The 20,780-nt window shown below is 47.8% G+C and overlaps 2 protein-coding genes and 1 long non-coding RNA gene across 22 annotated transcripts in view, besides 7 other annotated features; 2 read left to right on the top strand and 1 right to left on the bottom strand.

Moving 5' to 3' along the window:
- Nucleotides 225-544: a silencer, noted in NCBI's record as "silent region_715". NCBI's record gives its function as "represses an Ori minimal core promoter by ATAC-STARR-seq in GM12878 lymphoblastoid cells {active_cell/tissue: GM12878}" and the evidence as "EXISTENCE:reporter gene assay evidence [ECO:0000049][PMID:35858748]".
- MYCL (MYCL proto-oncogene, bHLH transcription factor) lies at nucleotides 328-6,817 on the top strand. 3 transcript variants are annotated; one of them, NM_001033082.3, is made up of 3 exons: nucleotides 328-437; nucleotides 802-1,306; nucleotides 4,275-6,817. In NM_001033082.3, exons 1-3 carry the CDS (start codon nucleotides 357-359, stop codon nucleotides 4,871-4,873), a joined length of 1,185 nt encoding a protein of 394 aa, NP_001028254.2. In that variant the 5' UTR covers nucleotides 328-356; the 3' UTR covers nucleotides 4,874-6,817. The 3 variants fall into 3 exon arrangements, with proteins under 3 accessions (NP_001028254.2, NP_001028253.1, NP_005367.2); NM_001033081.3 differs by having other exon boundaries at nucleotides 328-1,306; NM_005376.5 differs by lacking the exon at nucleotides 4,275-6,817 and having other exon boundaries at nucleotides 802-2,633.
- Nucleotides 955-1,074: a silencer, noted in NCBI's record as "silent region_714". NCBI's record gives its function as "represses an Ori minimal core promoter by ATAC-STARR-seq in GM12878 lymphoblastoid cells {active_cell/tissue: GM12878}" and the evidence as "EXISTENCE:reporter gene assay evidence [ECO:0000049][PMID:35858748]".
- Nucleotides 2,934-3,228: an enhancer, noted in NCBI's record as "tiled region #6057; HepG2 Activating DNase unmatched - State 4:PromP, and K562 Activating DNase unmatched - State 5:Enh". NCBI's record gives its function as "activates a minimal TATA promoter and a strong SV40 promoter by Sharpr-MPRA in HepG2 and K562 cells {active_cell/tissue: HepG2 | K562}" and the evidence as "EXISTENCE:reporter gene assay evidence [ECO:0000049][PMID:27701403]".
- MYCL-AS1 (MYCL antisense RNA 1) lies at nucleotides 3,147-19,095 on the bottom strand. 2 transcript variants are annotated; one of them, NR_183424.1, is made up of 3 exons: nucleotides 18,824-19,095; nucleotides 4,179-4,502; nucleotides 3,147-3,609 (listed from the first exon to the last, which is right to left on the bottom strand). It is a non-coding gene; the product is annotated as an MYCL antisense RNA 1 (long non-coding RNA). The 2 variants fall into 2 exon arrangements; NR_183425.1 differs by having other exon boundaries at nucleotides 19,061-19,095.
- Nucleotides 3,475-4,046: an enhancer, noted in NCBI's record as "NANOG-H3K27ac hESC enhancer chr1:40363871-40364442 (GRCh37/hg19 assembly coordinates)". NCBI's record gives its function as "activates a minimal SCP1, AML or CMV promoter by ChIP-STARR-seq in naive H9 embryonic stem cells {active_cell/tissue: H9 hESC(naive)}" and the evidence as "EXISTENCE:reporter gene assay evidence [ECO:0000049][PMID:30033119]".
- Nucleotides 13,843-14,041: a silencer, noted in NCBI's record as "fragment chr1:40353876-40354074 (GRCh37/hg19 assembly coordinates)". NCBI's record gives its function as "represses an EF-1alpha promoter that drives an FKBP-Casp9 reporter gene in an ReSE screen in K562 erythroleukemia cells {active_cell/tissue: K562}" and the evidence as "EXISTENCE:reporter gene assay evidence [ECO:0000049][PMID:32094911]".
- Nucleotides 17,870-18,688: an enhancer, noted in NCBI's record as "H3K27ac-H3K4me1 hESC enhancer chr1:40349229-40350047 (GRCh37/hg19 assembly coordinates)". NCBI's record gives its function as "activates a minimal SCP1, AML or CMV promoter by ChIP-STARR-seq in primed H9 embryonic stem cells {active_cell/tissue: H9 hESC(primed)}" and the evidence as "EXISTENCE:reporter gene assay evidence [ECO:0000049][PMID:30033119]".
- Nucleotides 18,689-19,509: an enhancer, noted in NCBI's record as "H3K27ac-H3K4me1 hESC enhancer chr1:40348408-40349228 (GRCh37/hg19 assembly coordinates)". NCBI's record gives its function as "activates a minimal SCP1, AML or CMV promoter by ChIP-STARR-seq in primed H9 embryonic stem cells {active_cell/tissue: H9 hESC(primed)}" and the evidence as "EXISTENCE:reporter gene assay evidence [ECO:0000049][PMID:30033119]".
- Nucleotides 18,734-20,780, top strand: part of TRIT1 (tRNA isopentenyltransferase 1) — a 45,402-nt gene continuing 43,355 nt past the window's right edge. For 16 of the 17 annotated variants that reach the window (NR_132414.1, NR_132413.1, NR_132412.1 and 13 more), the window contains exon 1: nucleotides 18,734-18,927. Coding sequence is in view for 3 of the 17 variants with exons in the window: in NM_001312692.1 (NP_001299621.1) it covers nucleotides 18,754-18,927 (174 nt within the window). In the remaining 14 variants the exon portion in view is untranslated. The remainder of the gene's footprint in view (nucleotides 18,928-20,780) is intronic. The other variant, NM_017646.6, reaches the window with a different exon arrangement.

Here is a 20,780-nt window from a genome sequence, read left to right as displayed (position 1 = left end):
GGCCGCCGGGCCGCATCAGCCCTCCTCCTGTTTGCGCTCCCCAGCGTGCAATTTATTTGGGGGGCTACCGGGGATTGAACGGAGCGGGCGAGCGCTGCCAGGAGGTGGGGCCGGCCCCACCTGTCGACTGCCCGTAGTAGGCAGGGAGAGGGCGGGGTTTGTCCCATAGGGCCCGCCCCCCAGTCCCTGGGTCCCGGGCGCGCGACGAGATATAAGGCAGTCAGGAAACAATGCGCCTGCAGCTCGCGCTCCCGCGCCGATCCCGAGAGCGTCCGGGCCGCCGTGCGCGAGCGAGGGAGGGCGCGCGCGCGGGGGGGGCGCGCTTGTGAGTGCGGGCCGCGCTCTCGGCGGCGCGCATGTGCGTGTGTGCTGGCTGCCGGGCTGCCCCGAGCCGGCGGGGAGCCGGTCCGCTCCAGGTGGCGGGCGGCTGGAGCGAGGTGAGGCTGCGGGTGGCCAGGGCACGGGCGCGGGTCCCGCGGTGCGGGCTGGCTGCAGGCTGCCTTCTGGGCACGGCGCGCCCCCGCCCGGCCCCGCCGGGCCCTGGGAGCTGCGCTCCGGGCGGCGCTGGCAAAGTTTGCTTTGAACTCGCTGCCCACAGTCGGGTCCGCGCGCTGCGATTGGCTTCCCCTACCACTCTGACCCGGGGCCCGGCTTCCCGGGACGCGAGGACTGGGCGCAGGCTGCAAGCTGGTGGGGTTGGGGAGGAACGAGAGCCCGGCAGCCGACTGTGCCGAGGGACCCGGGGACACCTCCTTCGCCCGGCCGGCACCCGGTCAGCACGTCCCCCCTTCCCTCCCGCAGGGAGCGGACATGGACTACGACTCGTACCAGCACTATTTCTACGACTATGACTGCGGGGAGGATTTCTACCGCTCCACGGCGCCCAGCGAGGACATCTGGAAGAAATTCGAGCTGGTGCCATCGCCCCCCACGTCGCCGCCCTGGGGCTTGGGTCCCGGCGCAGGGGACCCGGCCCCCGGGATTGGTCCCCCGGAGCCGTGGCCCGGAGGGTGCACCGGAGACGAAGCGGAATCCCGGGGCCACTCGAAAGGCTGGGGCAGGAACTACGCCTCCATCATACGCCGTGACTGCATGTGGAGCGGCTTCTCGGCCCGGGAACGGCTGGAGAGAGCTGTGAGCGACCGGCTCGCTCCTGGCGCGCCCCGGGGGAACCCGCCCAAGGCGTCCGCCGCCCCGGACTGCACTCCCAGCCTCGAAGCCGGCAACCCGGCGCCCGCCGCCCCCTGTCCGCTGGGCGAACCCAAGACCCAGGCCTGCTCCGGGTCCGAGAGCCCAAGCGACTCGGGTAAGGACCTCCCCGAGCCATCCAAGAGGGGGCCACCCCATGGGTGGCCAAAGCTCTGCCCCTGCCTGAGGTCAGGCATTGGCTCTTCTCAAGCTCTTGGGCCATCTCCGCCTCTCTTTGGCTGAAGCTGCCCGTGTAGTCCCCAACCGTGTCTGTCTGGCACGTGGGTGTGTTGGTAAACAGTTTGGAAAAGTGGCGTGGGAGCCAGCCTCCCTTTGATGATTATTGGAGCCCCAGGGGACAAGGGATTTGAGGTGAGGGTTGGCGCTTAGAGAGGACAATACTGGGGTTGGACTGTAAGGGATTGAAGGGGGTACCTTAAGAGACACTCCAAACCTGAAGTTTTTTTGCTGCTGCCTCTTTCCCTAGGAAACTCACACTCCCCTAGGGGGAGAAGAAGCCGAGAGCCTTTTGTGCAAAGCCAAAACCTTCGTCCTTTTAAAAACCTAGGTCTCCAGTTGGCTTTACTTTAAAATGCCAATAATAAATGCCCTCTTCTCGTGCCTCCCCACCACCACTTACCACTCGTGCATCCCTGAGACAGGGAGGGAAGAATGAACACTCCCCATTAACAGATGGAAAAACTGAGGCTTAGAGATAGACAATCACTACAAGTCAGCTCCAGCTTTCTGCCATCTAGCCAGCCCCTCTTCCCCAATGCTCCATCCCAACCAGGCACCTCTTCCTTGATGTTTGGGGTCTTTGTGGTAGCTTATCTTAGAAGCACTACACCTTGCCTTGCTGTTTGTCCTGAGATGGAAAAGTGTCCTTCTTGCTCCCCCTCAATAGATCTCCAGCGTCAGCTGCTCCCTGGCATTCAACAAATATTCACTGGCCCCTACTTTGTGGCAATCTGTGGGCTACATGCTGGGGTCAAGGCAGTAGAACTCCAGGCCCTCCTCTCCCATCCTTGATGCAAGTGCAACCTCGCTGAGGGCAGACTGGGGCATCCTGTGCCACTAAACTACATTGTTCTTATTCTGGCATCTTAGACCTCCACACCCGTGAGAAATCCTGGAGAGGGTATTTTTGTAGAGTGTAGACTGTGGCTAGTGACAAATAAATTAGGACCAAGAAAGCTCACTGTAGCTTTTAGGAATAACTTTTACACGACCATTTGATAGGGAACTGGGGAATGGGGTATGGAAGTTTTCCTACACTTGAGAGAAAAAATAGGATAACAAAAATTAAAAGTCTTTTTTTTCCTGGTCCACTGTGTTAAGGTCATTTTTAACCAGCTTGCTTTCTACACCAAGAGTTTATGTTTGTTTAATGGCTGGAAAGAGAATCTTGAGATCAAAAAACCAATAAAGATGTATCTCTACAACGGCTGGTGGAGTGGTAGAGTGGAAAGAGCATTGCTTTGGAAGTTGGACATTTTAGTTTGAGATCCAGAACGTTACAAAGGTGATATGTGGACTTCGCTGATCTGGGCCTCAGTTTCCCCATTTGCACACGATGGGGTTGGACTTGATTGTCCTGCTGATGACATTTCCTTGTCTGGATAGAGTAAGACACTACTCTCTGAAAGGGAGAATGGTGTCTTAAATTATTTCTTTCTTAGATAGAATCTTCCTGAGCCACGAGGCTTAACACTGAAAATTAAAGGTTTGGGATGTAGGGAAGCCTGCTGAATCATTTTCTAACCTACCCTTTAACCTGAACCTGTTTGTGAGCTTCTAGTTCACTCACAGGCCACATGGCCTGGAACAAAATGCAACAGATTGCAAACAATGAGGCGGGGGGTGGGGAAAGTGATTGGCAGCAGAGCTCACCCAATAGGGGCTAGGGGCTGGGTAAGACAGAAGTCCAAACACAGCGTAATCAGCCAATCATGGGCTTTGGGGCCAGGAGGGCTGAATGGTCAGGTTTATTAATGGAGAAATAATGCGATTGTCCACACAATGGAAGCCTTCCTGACAAAGGGGCTCAAGCTTCCTGATATGCAAAGAAGCTGAGAACGGAGCTCTTCCTTTGCGAGGCCGAGATCCATTAAGGTGGACTTCTGTGTGGAGGCTGCAAAATGTGTGGAGCAGGAGGAGACTTTTCTCCCAATTGCCCCTCTCCTGGTTAGGTTAACCTAAGAGACCTTCAAGCCAGTGAATGAGAAGGGCGTGTCCAGGTGTCTCCAGGTCTCTGGTGTTATGAGCCCCATATCTGGGACATTCTGCTGCCCAGTCTCTGCCTCTGGTGCAGGTAGTTTGGAAATGGTCGCTTGTACCTTTGTGAAGTTCCTGCAGCTTCGCCGACCTATGATTACAAATCTAACCTTCTAGTCCAGGGAAGGAGGTGGGGCAGGCGACCTATAAATGATGGATGACTTTAGAAACCCATTGAACCCAGGAGCAAAATGCTCCTAAGGGAAACCCTTTCCCTCCCCTCTGTGGGTGAAGAGGGATGGGTTGTAGCCCTCCCTTCTCTGAATCTTCAGCTGAAAGGGATGGCAGAATAGAGAGGTGGGGGAATAATAGGATTTATAACTTGTGAAAAGTAACAATTCCCCAAGTGCAGGCTGTGCTGGGCAGGAACAAAGGGCAGCTCTGCCCACAGACCCCTCATTTACAATTCTGATGGGGCATGAAAGAGCCCGACTGGGGAAGATCTTTATAGCTAAACTTTGTCCCAGGCCGGTAGCTCTTTCTCTCCAACCCCTCCGTGGGGGAGGGGAGAGCCTTTGCAGACTGGGGGCTGTTGGCTTGGGTCTGCCTTTTGTTCTTATCTAAGCCTTGCTGTGCAAAAGGAAATTGGAGAATATTTTCCTTCTTGCTAATGTCCCCTCCTTTCCTTCACTGTGCCCTTACCACATTACAAATGAATCAGCTTTCTGCTCACCTCGATTTGTATATATCTAAATTGGAAAAATGTCTCCTACCTTCCCAAGCACCAGCGTAGACAGCTAAAGCTGTAGGGTCTATGTTTGTGTTTCTCATGGGATGTGTTTCTTCTCTTGATCTCTTTTCTCGGACAGAGAATGAAGAAATTGATGTTGTGACAGTAGAGAAGAGGCAGTCTCTGGGTATTCGGAAGCCGGTCACCATCACGGTGCGAGCAGACCCCCTGGATCCCTGCATGAAGCATTTCCACATCTCCATCCATCAGCAACAGCACAACTATGCTGCCCGTTTTCCTCCAGAAAGCTGCTCCCAAGAAGAGGCTTCAGAGAGGGGTCCCCAAGAAGAGGTTCTGGAGAGAGATGCTGCAGGGGAAAAGGAAGATGAGGAGGATGAAGAGATTGTGAGTCCCCCACCTGTAGAAAGTGAGGCTGCCCAGTCCTGCCACCCCAAACCTGTCAGTTCTGATACTGAGGATGTGACCAAGAGGAAGAATCACAACTTCCTGGAGCGCAAGAGGCGGAATGACCTGCGTTCGCGATTCTTGGCGCTGAGGGACCAGGTGCCCACCCTGGCCAGCTGCTCCAAGGCCCCCAAAGTAGTGATCCTAAGCAAGGCCTTGGAATACTTGCAAGCCCTGGTGGGGGCTGAGAAGAGGATGGCTACAGAGAAAAGACAGCTCCGATGCCGGCAGCAGCAGTTGCAGAAAAGAATTGCATACCTCACTGGCTACTAACTGACCAAAAAGCCTGACAGTTCTGTCTTACGAAGACACAAGTTTATTTTTTAACCTCCCTCTCCCCTTTAGTAATTTGCACATTTTGGTTATGGTGGGACAGTCTGGACAGTAGATCCCAGAATGCATTGCAGCCGGTGCACACACAATAAAGGCTTGCATTCTTGGAAACCTTGAAACCCAGCTCTCCCTCTTCCCTGACTCATGGGAGTGCTGTATGTTCTCTGGCGCCTTTGGCTTCCCAGCAGGCAGCTGACTGAGGAGCCTTGGGGTCTGCCTAGCTCACTAGCTCTGAAGAAAAGGCTGACAGATGCTATGCAACAGGTGGTGGATGTTGTCAGGGGCTCCAGCCTGCATGAAATCTCACACTCTGCATGAGCTTTAGGCTAGGAAAGGATGCTCCCAACTGGTGTCTCTGGGGTGATGCAAGGACAGCTGGGCCTGGATGCTCTCCCTGAGGCTCCTTTTTCCAGAAGACACACGAGCTGTCTTGGGTGAAGACAAGCTTGCAGACTTGATCAACATTGACCATTACCTCACTGTCAGACACTTTACAGTAGCCAAGGAGTTGGAAACCTTTATATATTATGATGTTAGCTGACCCCCTTCCTCCCACTCCCAATGCTGCGACCCTGGGAACACTTAAAAAGCTTGGCCTCTAGATTCTTTGTCTCAGAGCCCTCTGGGCTCTCTCCTCTGAGGGAGGGACCTTTCTTTCCTCACAAGGGACTTTTTTGTTCCATTATGCCTTGTTATGCAATGGGCTCTACAGCACCCTTTCCCACAGGTCAGAAATATTTCCCCAAGACACAGGGAAATCGGTCCTAGCCTGGGGCCTGGGGATAGCTTGGAGTCCTGGCCCATGAACTTGATCCCTGCCCAGGTGTTTTCCGAGGGGCACTTGAGGCCCAGTCTTTTCTCAAGGCAGGTGTAAGACACCTCAGAGGGAGAACTGTACTGCTGCCTCTTTCCCACCTGCCTCATCTCAATCCTTGAGCGGCAAGTTTGAAGTTCTTCTGGAACCATGCAAATCTGTCCTCCTCATGCAATTCCAAGGAGCTTGCTGGCTCTGCAGCCACCCTTGGGCCCCTTCCAGCCTGCCATGAATCAGATATCTTTCCCAGAATCTGGGCGTTTCTGAAGTTTTGGGGAGAGCTGTTGGGACTCATCCAGTGCTCCAGAAGGTGGACTTGCTTCTGGTGGGTTTTAAAGGAGCCTCCAGGAGATATGCTTAGCCAACCATGATGGATTTTACCCCAGCTGGACTCGGCAGCTCCAAGTGGAATCCACGTGCAGCTTCTAGTCTGGGAAAGTCACCCAACCTAGCAGTTGTCATGTGGGTAACCTCAGGCACCTCTAAGCCTGTCCTGGAAGAAGGACCAGCAGCCCCTCCAGAACTCTGCCCAGGACAGCAGGTGCCTGCTGGCTCTGGGTTTGGAAGTTGGGGTGGGTAGGGGGTGGTAAGTACTATATATGGCTCTGGAAAACCAGCTGCTACTTCCAAATCTATTGTCCATAATGGTTTCTTTCTGAGGTTGCTTCTTGGCCTCAGAGGACCCCAGGGGATGTTTGGAAATAGCCTCTCTACCCTTCTGGAGCATGGTTTACAAAAGCCAGCTGACTTCTGGAATTGTCTATGGAGGACAGTTTGGGTGTAGGTTACTGATGTCTCAACTGAATAGCTTGTGTTTTATAAGCTGCTGTTGGCTATTATGCTGGGGGAGTCTTTTTTTTTTATATTGTATTTTTGTATGCCTTTTGCAAAGTGGTGTTAACTGTTTTTGTACAAGGAAAAAAACTCTTGGGGCAATTTCCTGTTGCAAGGGTCTGATTTATTTTGAAAGGCAAGTTCACCTGAAATTTTGTATTTAGTTGTGATTACTGATTGCCTGATTTTAAAATGTTGCCTTCTGGGACATCTTCTAATAAAAGATTTCTCAAACATGTCAGAGTGGGGGCAGCTTATGCCACCTGAGTCCTCCTCAACCACGGAAAACTATTTCAGGGTAGCCACAAGTGATCCAGAGGGCTGCACTTCTCTAACCATGTTGCTAACCTGGTCATTCCACTCTGGGTTCCTGAAATGCCATTTCAGACATGTTGAAACAATGTAGGCTCAGTACTCAGTGAACACGGAATTCTCTTGTGAATTGCAAAGAGTGCTGAATTTGTACTTTAGAAGGCTTGAAATCCTGGCTCCACCACTTCTGCAGCCTTTAGTTTCATCTTTCTGAGTCCTAGTTTCCTTATCGGTAAAATGGGGATAAATGCTACTTCACTGGGTTTTTGCAGGTATTAAATGAAGGGGTAGACTTAAAACTGCTTTCTAAACTATAAAGCCTTATACTCTTTAGGATGGTGTTATTCTTATCTTAGTGGTATGATGACCTTCTGCAAGATGTCTTTTAAAGTTTTTTTCTGAGAATTTATGTTGCAATGTACTTTTTTCTTACAGAAAGATAGTTTTAAAATTCTTTCTCCTGGCTGGGTGCAGTGGCTTATGCCTGTAATCCCAGCACTTTGCGAGGCTGAGGCAGGCAGACTGCTTGAGCTCAGGAGTTCAAGACCAGCCTGGGCAACATGGCAAAAACCCATGTCTACAAAAAATACAAAAATTAGCCAGGCATGGTGGTACACGCCTGTAGTCCCAACTACTCGGGAGGCTGAGGTGGGAGGATGGCTTGAGCCTGGGAGGCAGAGGTTGCAGTGAGCCAAGATTGCGCCACTGCACTCCAGCCTGGGCAACAGAGCCAGACCCTGTCTCAAAAAAAACATTCTTCCTCCTTAATTAATGAAAGAAAGTTTAAGCTTCATTTTCCTCCCATAGTTCTCATAAACTTGCTGTAAATGCAAGACAGGGGAATTCAGTAATAGCTGTTCCTCATAGGGCACTGCTTATGTCTGAACACTCTGCCATATCAACCATGTGTCAGGGCTACAGATGAAGAAACTGAGGTTCTAAGAGTAAACAAAGCTATGCAAATTCACAAGCTTGTAATTCAGTTGTGATTTGAAACCAGCTCTGCCTATCTCCAGAGCAAGAGGTCTTAGTCACTATATTATGATGATCAGCTTGTTTGTTAGCACGGGGTATGTGGAGAAGGTAAACGTGGAATTCCGTCATTTAACTGCTTGTTGTAACTCTCTTTGGGGCTATTGTGCCTGCCACTTATTGGGATGAAATGGAGCAAATGTCCCATGACCAGCAACTCTGAGGCATATGTGTGCTGGGTGGCATAGTCTTGCTGCAAAGGGGCCCCATCTGGGACTGAAAAGCAATCAGTTGCTGTTCAGGATGGCCATGAGCATCATGGTGAAAGAAGCCTCCACTAACTCCTCCTTACAGATGGGACTTGGGTTGGTATTGCCCACCCGAATTCCTATGGAGCCTCAGTACGGTCAAAAAGCTCCTCTTAATTCCTCACATTTACAAAATGACCCTCTTGTGACCCTCCAACCTGGTAAGTAAGCAATATCTGCCTGATGGTACTGGAGCCCAGAGAGTTTTCTTGCTCAAAGTCATAGCAAAATCAGGATTCCAAGCCCAGTCTCCTATCAGGTAAGCTTTTTCCACTTGTCCCCCACTGCACATAGGTAACACACTTAGAACCTAAGAAACTGTTTGGTAAAACTGACATGGATTATTGGAACTCTTTTCTTAAAACTCCCAGTGTATTTTTCTTCCTTTTTTGAGGCCATTAGTCAAGGGTCTGGTTTGTAGGACGTATCTCCCTTTACTGGACCTTGAAAGAATTCAATAAAAATTTTTGAAAGCACTTAGTACAATAGTATGGACCCATGGGTACAGGCATGAATGTTAGTAGTTTTGCATATCTTAATTCTTACAATAACTTGGAGAGCAGGATGCTGTCAGCCCCATTTCACAGAAAAGCCAACTGAAGCTCAGAGACATTTAAGTTGTTTGCCTAAGCCCACACACCTAGTACCAGCTGCCTGACTCCAAGCTTCAGCTCTTTTGAGTCAACTCTGCTGAGAAAGGAGTGGGAATAAAGCCATCTCCTGGGGGAAGGGAGGGTGTTTCTGGAATGCGAAGTATTTTAAGCTCCTTCCTAGCTCTTTTCTACAGACTCCTACCTCTATCTTTGTCTGAAAATAGTCAGGAGTTTATTCCTGGATTTCAGAGGACAATTTCTACAAATTAGGTTTGCCTCTGAATAATGCACCTAAGGGATCACACTCCCAACTCAGGACATAGACAATACGGGGTGACCCAGAAGCCACACTTGGTGTAGCAAAGAGAGAAGGACATCATCTCTGTTAGACAATAAAAGGCTAAAGTGTATGTTTAACTTCTGCCTCTGTTGGCAGTTATTTTGGGGAACTGAGACAGGTTGAACTATCTTAGACGTGCTGAATTTGTCTACAGTGCTCCCGAGGTCAGGATATTCCAGAATATTAACTTTAAAAGGGGAAAAAGAGGATGGGGATGGCTTTGCTGATCTGTGATAAGTGATAGGAGGGAGTGTGAGAGAGGTTTCTTTTTAAGGATAAGATAACCAGCTGGGAGATGATTGATGACCGGGTGACTGGGAAGGAGGAAAGAGGAGGTGTCTAAATGTGTCAGCTAGAGTTCTGTTGGTTGGTGTGTGGGCATTTCTACTGTAAGCCCAGTGGGCGGCTCTTGTTAATGTCTGTTTATTTACACTCCTGGCCAAAGGGAGCAACTGTATTAATGTTACCATTCTCTTGGCAAGCAAATGTAAATATTTAAAAAAGAAAGTCTCTAATCAGGTGTGTTATTAAATGATTAGGCTCAGTGCCAAGGGTCCAGTAGGTGCCCAGTAAATAATGGATTTCTTTTAAACTTGTGGGAAGCAGTATGGTTAAGTGGTCACCCACACCCAACAGTCTCAGTTCCAAATCTTGGCCCTGCATTTTCTAGCATTTTCTTGACCTTGGGCAAATTATTAACCTTTCCTAACCCTAGTTTTCTTATCTATAAAATAGGTAGAAATAATAGCATGCACTTCTTTGGGTCGTCAGGGCAATAGTAAGTGCTCAGTAAATGATTAGTATTATTTAAACCATGTTAACAAGCCACAACCAGAATATAGATTAGTCATATCTGAAAGATGATAGAAGGAATTGGTAAAATAATAAATCTTCCCAGAGTGCACATATTGATGCTTCAAGAGGTGGTAAATTATTAGGAAAGAAATAGCCAGGTTTGGGGAGCTTGAAATAGGCAGCGGAGGAGGGAGGGCAAAGACTGGAGCCTCAGACTGGTTCACAGCATTCACAGCCCATGGCCAGCAGAGGTTGTGCATCAGCAAAGCCATTGCACATACAAACCCTCTACTTTTCCTTACTGGGCACTGTGGTGCCTTTAAACTGAGCCACAGTCAACTGACTCCATTTAGTCATTAATGCCTATATTATTAAGACAGTGACTCTCAAACTTGAGTGTGTCTTAAGAATCTACCCACCCGGCCAGGCGCGGTGGCTCATGCCTACAATCCCAGCACTTTGGGAGGCTGAGGCGGGCGGATCACGAGGTCAGGAGTTCGAGAGCAGCCTGACCAACATGGTGAAACCCCGTCTCTACTAAAAACAAAAATTAGCCAGGCATGATGGCGTGTGCCTGTAATCCTAGCTCTTCGGGAGGCTGAGGCAGGAGAATGGCGTGAACCCGGGAGGCGGAGCTTGCAGTGAGCCGAGATCGCGCCACTGCACTCCAGACTGGGAGAGAGAGCGAGACTCCGTCTCAAAAAAAAAAAGAATTTGCCTACCGTAGGTCAGGGCCAGGAATCTGCATTGCTAACAAGCAAGGAGGGAGGTGAATTCCTGAGGGCACACTTAAAAAAATATTGATATAAGGGGTTGGAGCCCAGGTTTTGCAAAGACAAAAAGTATTCACAGAAGGTGGTGTAGATGCCATGGTTAAGAACTTGGGGCCAGGCACAGTGGCTTATGACTGTAATCCCAGCACTTTGGGAGGCAGAGGTGGGAGGATCACATGAGTTCAGGAGCTTGAGACCAGCCTGGGCAACATAGCAAAATCCCATTTCTACTAAGAAATTAAAAAAAAAAAAAAATGCTGGCAAGCGGGCCTGTGCCGGTAGTCAGTCCCAGCTACTCCGGAAGCTGATGCTGAGATGGGAGGATCACTTGAGCCCAGGAGTTTGAGGAGTCTGCAGTGAGCTATAATTGTGCCATTTCACTCCAGCCTGAGTGACAGAGTGAGACCCTATCTCTAAAACAACAACAACAACAACAAAAAACAAGGAGTTGGGGTTACTACCTGTGTGATGTTGGGCAAATCACTCAACCTCTCTGAGTCCTACAAGTATCCTTCTTCTGTAAAATGGAGATAATAATGATATCTATGTCACAGGACTGTTGTGAAGATTAAAGGAGTTGTTACATGTAAAGTTCTTAGAACAGTGCCAGCTACATAGTGACAGCAATATGTTTGCAATGATACATGAAGGTATGGTTCCTTCCTTCTGGAAGTTTATGAGCATAGAAACACAATCAGAAAATATTCTGGTCTGAAGTAATATAATAATAACAAAAAGATAACACACATGATCACAAACTAAGGCAATATGTGTCTCAAAGAAGTGCTATGAACCTCAGAAGGGGAAGAGAACATTTTGTTTGGAGTCATCATGAAAGTTTTTGTTGGAAATTGTAACATTAACCAGAACTAGAAGTACAGGTAGTATTTGGCTAAATGAAAAGAAGGATGTTCTAGGCTAAGAGAATAGCTTTGGGGAAGAGCAGTTAAGAAGGTTGTGTCAAATCTGGGGACAGGGGAGAAATCTGGTCTGATTTGCTGGCTGGGTAGTCTCATTTTTACAAAATAAGGAGGATTGCACTAGATTTCTAAGGGGATCCTTTCAAGAGCAAACATCCTCTTTGAAATAGGGAAGTCAGGGGAAGAAACTGATTGTGGTTTGGGACATGATGAAATTAAAGTGATGGGGTCATCCAAAATGAAGTACCCAGCAAGTTGAAAATGTGATACTGAGGCTTTAGAAAGGGATTTGAATGGAAGATACAGGCTTGAGACTCATCAGGATATAAAGATGGCAGGGTAAAGTGGTTCATGCCTATAATCCCAGCACTTTGGGAGGCTGAGGCAGAAGGATCACTTGAGGCCAGGAGTTCAAGATCAGGTTGGGCAACATAGTAAGACCCTGTCTCTGCAAAAGAAAAATAAATAAATTAAAAAGCTGTTATTATTTATTTATTTATTTTTATTTTTTATTTTTTTTTTGAGACAGAGTCTTGCTCTGTCACCCAGGCTGGAGTGCAGTGGCACAATCTCGGCTCACTGCAACCTCCGCCTCCCAGGTTCAAGTGATTCTCCTGCCTCAGCCTCCCAAGTAGCTGGGATTACAGACGCCAACCACCATGGCCAGCTAATTTTTGTGTTTTTAGTAGAGATGGGGTTTTACCATGTTGGCCAGGCTGGTCTGGAACTCCTGACCTCAGGTGATCCACCCACCTCAGCCTCCCAAAGTGCTGGAATTACAGGCATTAGCTACCATGCCCAGCCCTAAAAAGCCGTTATCTTGACACTGGGAGGCTGAGGCTGGAGGATCACTTGGGGCCAGGCATTTGAGACCAGCCTGGGCAACATAGTGAGACTCTGTCTCTTAAAAAAAAAAAAAATGAAACCGGGCGCAGTGGCTCATGCCTGTAATCCCAGCACTTTGGGAGGCCCAGGCGGGTGGATCACGAGGTCAGGAGTTCGAGACCAGCCTGGCCACCATGGTGAAAACCCATCTCTACTAAAAATACAAAAATTAGCCGGGTGTGGTGGTGCAAGCCTGTAATCCTAAGGAACAATGAAAGATTGCTGGCAACCACCAGAAGCTAGAGGAGGAAAGAAGGGATTCTTCCCTAAAGGGAAGCATGGGGGCATGGCCCTGTGGACACTTTGATTTCAGACTTCTAGCCTCCAGAACCACAAGAAAATAAATTTCCCTTTATTTTGTTTGTTTGTTTGTTTTTGAGATTTTTTTTTTTTTTTTAAACAGCCTGTTGCCCAGGCTGGAGTACAGTAGTGCAATCTCTGCTCACTGCAACCTCTCCCTTCCCAGTTCAAGCGATTCTCGTGCCTAATCCCTGCCCCTGCCCAAGTAGATGGGGCTATAGGAGTGCTCCACCACGCCCGGCTAATTTTTGTATTTTTAGTAGAGATGGAGTTTCGCCATGTTGGTCAGGCTGGTATTGAATTCCTGGCCTCCTGCCTCGGCCTCCCAAAGTGCTGGAATTACAGGGGTGAGCCACCATGCCCTGCCAATTTCCCTTGTTTTAAGCCACCCAGTTTGTAGTAATTTATGACAAGCCTAGGAATCTAATATAGGAATAACGTTCATCATAAAATATCTCCCACAGAAAATATTTTTTACTTGGGGTAGCTAATTAGTGTGAAGATTGGGCTGCAAAGGCATCTTAGGTTGTACCAAAAAGCTAGTGTTGTCCGGGTGCTGTGGCTCACACCTGTAATCCTAGCTCTTTGTGAGTGTGAGGTGGGCAGATTAGTTGAGGCCAGGAGTTCAAGACCAGCCTGGCCAACATGGCAAAACTTCATCTCTATTATAAACTTGTATAAATCAATTTTTTAAAAAGCTAGTGTTGGTCTTTGACCCAACTTTCTTCCTTACCTTGGAGTTAGATGCTTCAGGCCTCCCATAGCATGTTCCTTTTTCTGTCCTAAATGTCACCACATACTCTAAAATTCCATCTGGAACCTTTTGGATGATCTGCTTTAAATGGCCCTTTTACTGTAATGGCTTCATCTTTTGCCTTCTCCCTGTAAATTTCTTTCTTTTATTTTTTGAGATGGAGTTTCGCTCTTGTTGCCCAGGCTGGAGTGCAATGGTGCAATCTCAGCTCACCGCAACCTCCGCCTTCCAGGTTCAAGCAATTCTCCTGCCTCAGCCTCCCGAGTAGCTGGGATTACAGGCATGCACCACCACGCCCGGCTAATTTTGTATTTTTAGTAGAGACGGGGTTTCTCCATGTTGAGGCTGGTCTCGGACTCCTGACCTCAGGTGATCCGCCGGCCTCGGCCTCCCAAAATGCTGGGATTACAGGCGTAAGCCACCGCACCCGGCCAAATTTCTTTCTTTTTAAAAGAGATTTTGAATGAGTTATTTAAAGTATACAGAGGATAGGAAATACTACTGAATAAACACTCATGGGTCATCACTGAGATTTTCCTCCCTATCTTTTTGCACCTCCTACGTTCTCCTTTTCTGCCATCTTTCTGTGCCCATCCCACCCTATGTATTGCTTTCAATTTCCTAAAGAAGGTGAGGTAGGTGCAGAAATCCTAACTATATATCTGCCCTTGGGGTATGACTTACACACAGTGGGGATGAGAATTAAATGACTGACTGTGGGCTTTCAGTAGGGCAGGCAAGGAATTATTATTCTCCAAGTAATTTGAGTATCCCTGGTACCTCATTTCTACATTTTAGATATGCTCTTCCAGACTGAACTTATCCTGATACATTTGCCTTTAAAACCAGGATTTCTTTGCCCATAATAATCTGTAATGCGTGGAGCACGTTGGAGATGGGATTCTGCATCTATCACCTCTAGACATATACATACATTTTAAGTGAGAGACTCTCTTTCTTTCTGAGCCTCCCTTCCAGAACACAATGAGCTCCTTCCCCTCTGGCCTCACAGAAAGGGGAGTCAGAGCCAATACCTAGGCATGAGTACAACTAGCTTCCCTGACTCCCTATTGCCTTCTTTTATCTCTTTTTTACCCTGAAAAGCTTCCCATTAGAGGGTTTTATGTAGTTTTTTAAAGAAATACTTATTATCTCTTGGTCATAGACTTCAATTCCCCAATTTTCCCTTGAACTTAATGTCTCCAATTAGGATTTCAAGTTACAGAATATCTTTCAGGACCTATTTTTAGTATAATTTAGAGTTCAGAAGATCGCTAGGGAGACAAACAAAGCTACAAATAAAATAGCCTAAGGTATTTTAAAAAATATGTTCCCATTCTCTTTTGGTAGGACTAATAGAATTACGATGAATGGAAATGGTCCTTTTTTTTTTTTTTCACTTCTCCTCATTTGTTTTGGACCACAGGCTCCATTCTGATTTAGGAGTCTTTCCTGCTCAGCATTTTGGTGATAATTCTCCCCATGGTCTGTAGGATCCCTGTTCTCTTTGTTTCTATAGCAACAGTCCTGTGTTGCTTGGCTAGAAGCAATTTTCTGCTGCTATGGTGAAGCTCCATTTTTCCATTCCTTTCTCCCTAGTTGCCTTGGTAACGAGTCTCTTCATCTTCTGGTCTCTTGGTGGTAAATTCCACCCCCATCTTTTTTTCTCTTTCTGGTAATAGTCACCTGGTTCATGACTTAGACAGTGCTATCCCATCTGTGAGTGAGCATACTCTGTCATGGTCAGATTGTCATCATGAAATCAGCCTCCCTTTTCCTTTAATTGCATCATTTCTCTGGCCTGCCATCTTTCTGGTGGTTGTCATGGTAACTGTACCCTCTGAAAGTCTCCAGGCAAAGGTTCTACAGTTAACAACCATCATGTGAGAGTGTCTGCCAATATGTGGCCATGCATCTCCATTTTAAACCCAGCCCCAGGCGGGTACTACAAATTGGAGAGAACAGGGCTTTTGATCAAAGCAGGCTGGATTGAGAAAAGGAGGGACAGGGGACCCAGAACTGGGAACTGGTATTCTCCAAACAATGTACGTGGCAACAAGGTTTAGGCTGGATCTGCAAGAGTGGTCATTATGCCAATGGGGATTCAAGTGACTGATAAATGTATTAGCAGTCATTCCAGCAGGCCTGTCAAATGCTTGAAACTTGCAGGGGTCACTCCTTTGGCCCAGGGGATCCTGGTGATATGACCTGAGAGTTAGAGCCAATCTCAGTGAAAAAGCAATTATAACTCTTTTTTTTTTTTTTTTTGAGACAGAGTCTCGCTCTGTCGCCCAGGCTGGAGTGCAGTTGCGCGATCTCAGCTCACTGCAAGCTGCGCCTCCCGGGTTCACGCCATTCTCCTGCCTCAGCCTCACGAGTAGTTGGGACTATAGGTGCACGCCACCAAGCCTGGCTAGTTTTTTGTATTTTTTTAGTAGAGACGGGGTTTCACCTTGTTAGCCAGGATGGTCTCGATCTCCTGACCTTGTGATCCACCCGCCTTGGCCTCCCAAAGTGCTGGGATTACAGGCGTGAGCCACTGCGCCTGGCCTAGAACTCTTAAATTGGCTAACAAGGGGTTAGTAGAATAGGTATTTAGGCACCTTTACACATTACTGAAAATTTCTCTGCCCTTAGGCTGCTGCTTTTACCTCTTTAGAGAGGCAGATGGGGTGTTACCATTATAATAACACAAAGTGTTCAACAAATAGTGGGTGTTATGTGCCAGGGCATTGTAGCAGGCACTCTTCAGATATTACTTCATTTTCTCCTCATGGCAATCTTTAGAGGAATTTAAAGATAAGAACACCGAGGTTAAGAGGTAAAGTTAGGCCAGAAGTGCTGGCTCACTTCTGTAATCCCAGCAGTTTAGGAGGCCCAGGCAGGAGGATCACTTGAGCCCAGGAGTCGGTCACCAGCCTGGGCAACATAGCAAGACCTCATCTCTCAAAAAGAAAAAAAAAATAGTAGGCGTGGTGGTATGGGTCTGCAGTCCCAGCTGGGGTGGGGTGATCGGGTGCTGAGTGGGAGGATTGTTTGAGCTCAGGAGGCCAAGGCTGCAGTGAGCTGTGATTGATTGCACCACTGCGCTGCAGCCTGGGCAACAGAGCAAGATCCTGTCTCAAAAAAAAAAAAAAAAGAGGTGAAGTTAATGAAGTTCACAGAGCTGATAAATGGCAGAGCTGGGATTTGAACCCAGCTCTATATGACTCCAAAGGCCTTTCTTAAAATGGTGTGGTCTCTGGAATTTTGGTCCTCTCTGGTCCTAATTTTTTCCACCTCCATTTTAACCTCAGGGTTGCTACAACTTTAATCCTTTCTTTCTTTTTTCTTTTTTTTTTTTTTTTGAGACTGAGTCTTGCTCTGTCGCCCAGGCTGGAGTGCAGTGGCTGATCTCGACTTACTGCAACCTCCGGCTTCCGGCTTCAAGTGATTCCCCTGCCTCCCACGTAGCTGGGATTACAGGCATATGCCATCACCACGCGTGGCTAATTTTTGTATTTTTAGTAGAGACGGGGTTTCACCATGTTGGCCAGGCTGGTCTTGAACTCCTGACCTTGTGATCCACATGCCTTGGCCTTCCAAAGTGCTGGGATTACAGGTGTGAGCCACCGCGCCTGGCTATTTATTTATTTAAGAAGGAATTTAGCTCTTGTTGCCCAGGCTGGAGTGCAATGGCATGATCTTGGCTCACCGCAACTTACGCCTCCCGGTTCAAGTGATTCTCCTGTCTTAGCCTCCCAAGTAGCTGGGATTACAGGTGTGCACCACCATGCCCAGTTAATTTTATATTTTTAGTAAAGACGGGTTTTCACCATGTTGGTCAGGCTGGTCTCGAACTCCTGACCTCAGGTGATCCACCCGCCTCAGCCTCTCAAATTGCTGGGTTTACAGGCGTGAGCCACGGCTCCCGGCCAACTTTAATCCTTTCTACCTGCGTTCCTTTTCCCTTTCCTATTTTGCGGATTGTAGTTTACTTGCTTGTTTTTCTCTGTTCTCACTCCACATGTTGCATTCTTTGGCCAAGGAGATGAAAAGGTTTGCCTTCTGTTTTTTTGTTTTGTTTTGTTTTGTTTGGGACGGAGTTCCGCTCTTGTTGCCCAGGTTTGGAGTGCAATGGCGCGATCTCGGCTCACTGCAACCTCCGTTTCCCCGGTTCCCATGCCTCAGCCTCCCAAGTAGCTGGGATTAAAGGAATGCGCCACCACGCCCGGCTAATTTTTGTATTTTTAGTAGAGACGGGGTTTTACCATGTTAGTCAGGCTGGTCTTGAACACCTAACCTCAGGTGATCCACCAGCCTTGGCCTCCCAATATGCTGGGATTACAAGCGTGAGCCACTGTGCCGGGCCAAAGGTTTGCTTTGTGATTGAGTATGAGGTCGTACTATGGGATGAAAATATTAGAGCAGCTGCCCTGGCCTGAGAACTGGGCAGACCTCATTCTGGAGAATGCCACACCTCTGAGCTTACTGCCCCGGGCACTAGACCGGCAGGTCATTCTCCTCTTCATTGAACAAGTATTGGGTGTCTCTTGGGTACCAGGTACTGTGCTAGACACTGGAGATACAGCAATGATCTAGGCAGAATTTGTCCCAATAAGTCAGACAAAAAAACAAGAGACCTATTTATAATTTTATATTGTAATAAGTACTGTAAAGAAAAATAACTTGAGTGCTGTGAAAGAATAATAGGGACGGATCTATTTAGATAGGGTTGCCATCTACCATTTAAGACGGCAGGTGGTCTGGCGCAGTGGCGCATGCCTGTAATCCCAGCACTTTGGGAGGCCGAGGCGGGTGGACTGCCTGAGCTCAGGAGTTCGAGACCACCCTGGGCAACATGGTGAAACCTCGTGTCTACTAAAATACAAAAAATTAGCCGGGCATGGTGGTGGGCGCCTGTAGTCCCAGCTACTCGGGAGGCTGAGGCAGGAGAATCTCTTGAACCCAGAAGGCGGAGGTTGCAGTGAGCCAAGATCGCGCCACTGCACTCCAGCCCGGGCGACAGAGGGAGACCCCGTCTCCAAATAAGAAGAAAAAAAAAAAAAGACGGCGGGTAGTTGAGGTTCTGACACCAGTTAGTTGACTGCAGTCACGTCGCCTGGGTCCTGCCGCTCCCTCCTCCCTAAGCAACCTCGCTACAAAGCCTGAGATCCGCGCAGGCGCATAGACGGTTGCCATGGGGACAGCTGCTCCGGCGCAAGCGCAGACTGCCATAAGATGGCGTCCGTGGCGGCTGCACGAGCAGTTCCCGTGGGCAGTGGGCTCAGGGGCCTGCAACGGACCCTACCTCTTGTAGTGATTCTCGGGGCCACGGGCACCGGCAAATCCACGCTGGCGTTGCAGCTAGGCCAGCGGCTCGGCGGTGAGATCGTCAGCGCTGACTCCATGCAGGTATGGCAGTGCGGCTGGCCCGGGCGCCTGGGGACCCCGGAGGCCGCGTGGACACCCTGTGGCAAAGGTCTTAAAGGGTGAACCCCGAGGCTTGTAGGGGCGGAGGGGGTAGGTAAAGGGAGCCCATACTTACTAAGCACCCGCCGCATGCCAGACACAGTGCCAGATGTTTCCCTTATCATCGTCTCATCAACTTCTCACGACGTTACTATTTGGTAGATACTATTATCTCCTTTTATGGAGAAAGGAATTGGGGCTTAGGGAGGTGAAACGATTTTTTCCATGTCACATAGCGAATAAGTGGAAGACATGGTATTTGAACCTACAAGGTCGACAGATAGGTATCCAGTAAATATCTTTTGAATAAAAATTATTCCAGAGCTTTTGTTGTAACTCTAACCCTAACCCAGCGAGATCAGGATAAATTGGATACCACCTATGGTGTCTGCTGGGGGAGTGGAATAGGGTTGACAGTCAGGAGACCTGGATTCTAGTCCTGAATCTGCCATTGGCCATGTGACTTCGGATCAACAATGTCGTTTATTTGGACGTTATTTTATATATCTGTGAAGTGAGGAAAATGTCACCTACCGCACAAGGTTATAGTGCTTAATAAATGGGATCATGAGCGTTAGAACGAAGAACAGAGTGCCCTGTCCGGAATAAGGCCAGACTTGTGGTAAATGCTTTTTTAAGTAGAGGTTTTAAATCATAATGGCTGATTTAAAGTTGAAGGGGCTTTGTCCTCTTCTTCGAACTGGGAGGCCCAGAAGGGGTGTACATCACATCTGGGAGCATTTTGCTCCATTAAGAGTGGGTAGTGGGTGACATTTTGGGTAAATCTCTGATGGAGGAACTACAGCAGCTATTTGTTGAGGAGAATTTACAGTTATGAGTCTTCACAGAGTAAATGAGATGTTGAACATGAAATGCCTGGCACTGAACATAGCACCTGATGAGTACTCAGCAAAGAAGGGCAGTTCCTTTCCCCAACTCACCCAGAAGCCAGTGGGCATAGTTTCTGCTTTCATTAGTTTATGTGGCATGACAAGACCATCAGCACACATGAAACGATCGGATAATTCAAAAAATAATTTGTTTGCAGTCTACTTTGTGCCAGCTTCAGAAGACAATTTACCTCAAATCCCAGCTGTCTTTTCCAAGATATGCAGCTATAGCCTAACCTCTTCATGCCTTTGTTTCTTCTTCTGTAAAGTAGGAAGAATAATATCAATAACACAACATTATTGTGATGATTAAATGAGATAAAGTATGTGCAGTACTTAATACAATATATGGCACATAATAAGAGCTAAAAATACAGCAGCTGCTATCTTCTGCGAGGCCCTACTGGAGAGACAAAATCATAATTTCTGCCCTTGAGTTTTAGTCCAGCTGAACATAAAACAAGGCAGAGCTAATAAATGTTTGGACAGAGATATTAATGGATTTGCAAGATGATGGGAGGAGAGAGACTACAGATGCTAGATTTTATGACAAGTATTATAGAATTTCTGAGACAGGAGAAATTATCGAAGGCTGGCTTAGTATGGAAAGCTCTCTGAAAAAGGGCTTGAAAAATAGGTCAAGTTTGGATAGGTAAGAAAGAAGAAAAAGCTTATTAAAGGAAAGAACATGAAGCTGGTCCAAAGGTATTGAGTTGTCTCAGTTGATTGTTCACAGTCAGTTACAGATGGAACTCCCTTTTCTACTCTTTGGCCCTTTCTCACTACTGTACATGACTAGTCTTAAAAAAAAAAAAGGAACATGAATGAAGATGAAGATTTAGAAGGTGAAATGGCCATAGTGTGTAGGTAGGATAGTAAAAGGAGACTGTTCAATTGCAGATATGG

The sequence above is a fragment of the Homo sapiens genome, chromosome 1 (genome assembly GCF_000001405.40).
Source record: "Homo sapiens chromosome 1, GRCh38.p14 Primary Assembly".
Taxonomy (NCBI): Eukaryota; Metazoa; Chordata; class Mammalia; order Primates; family Hominidae; genus Homo; species Homo sapiens.
This window is presented reverse-complemented; position numbering and strand designations above follow the sequence as displayed.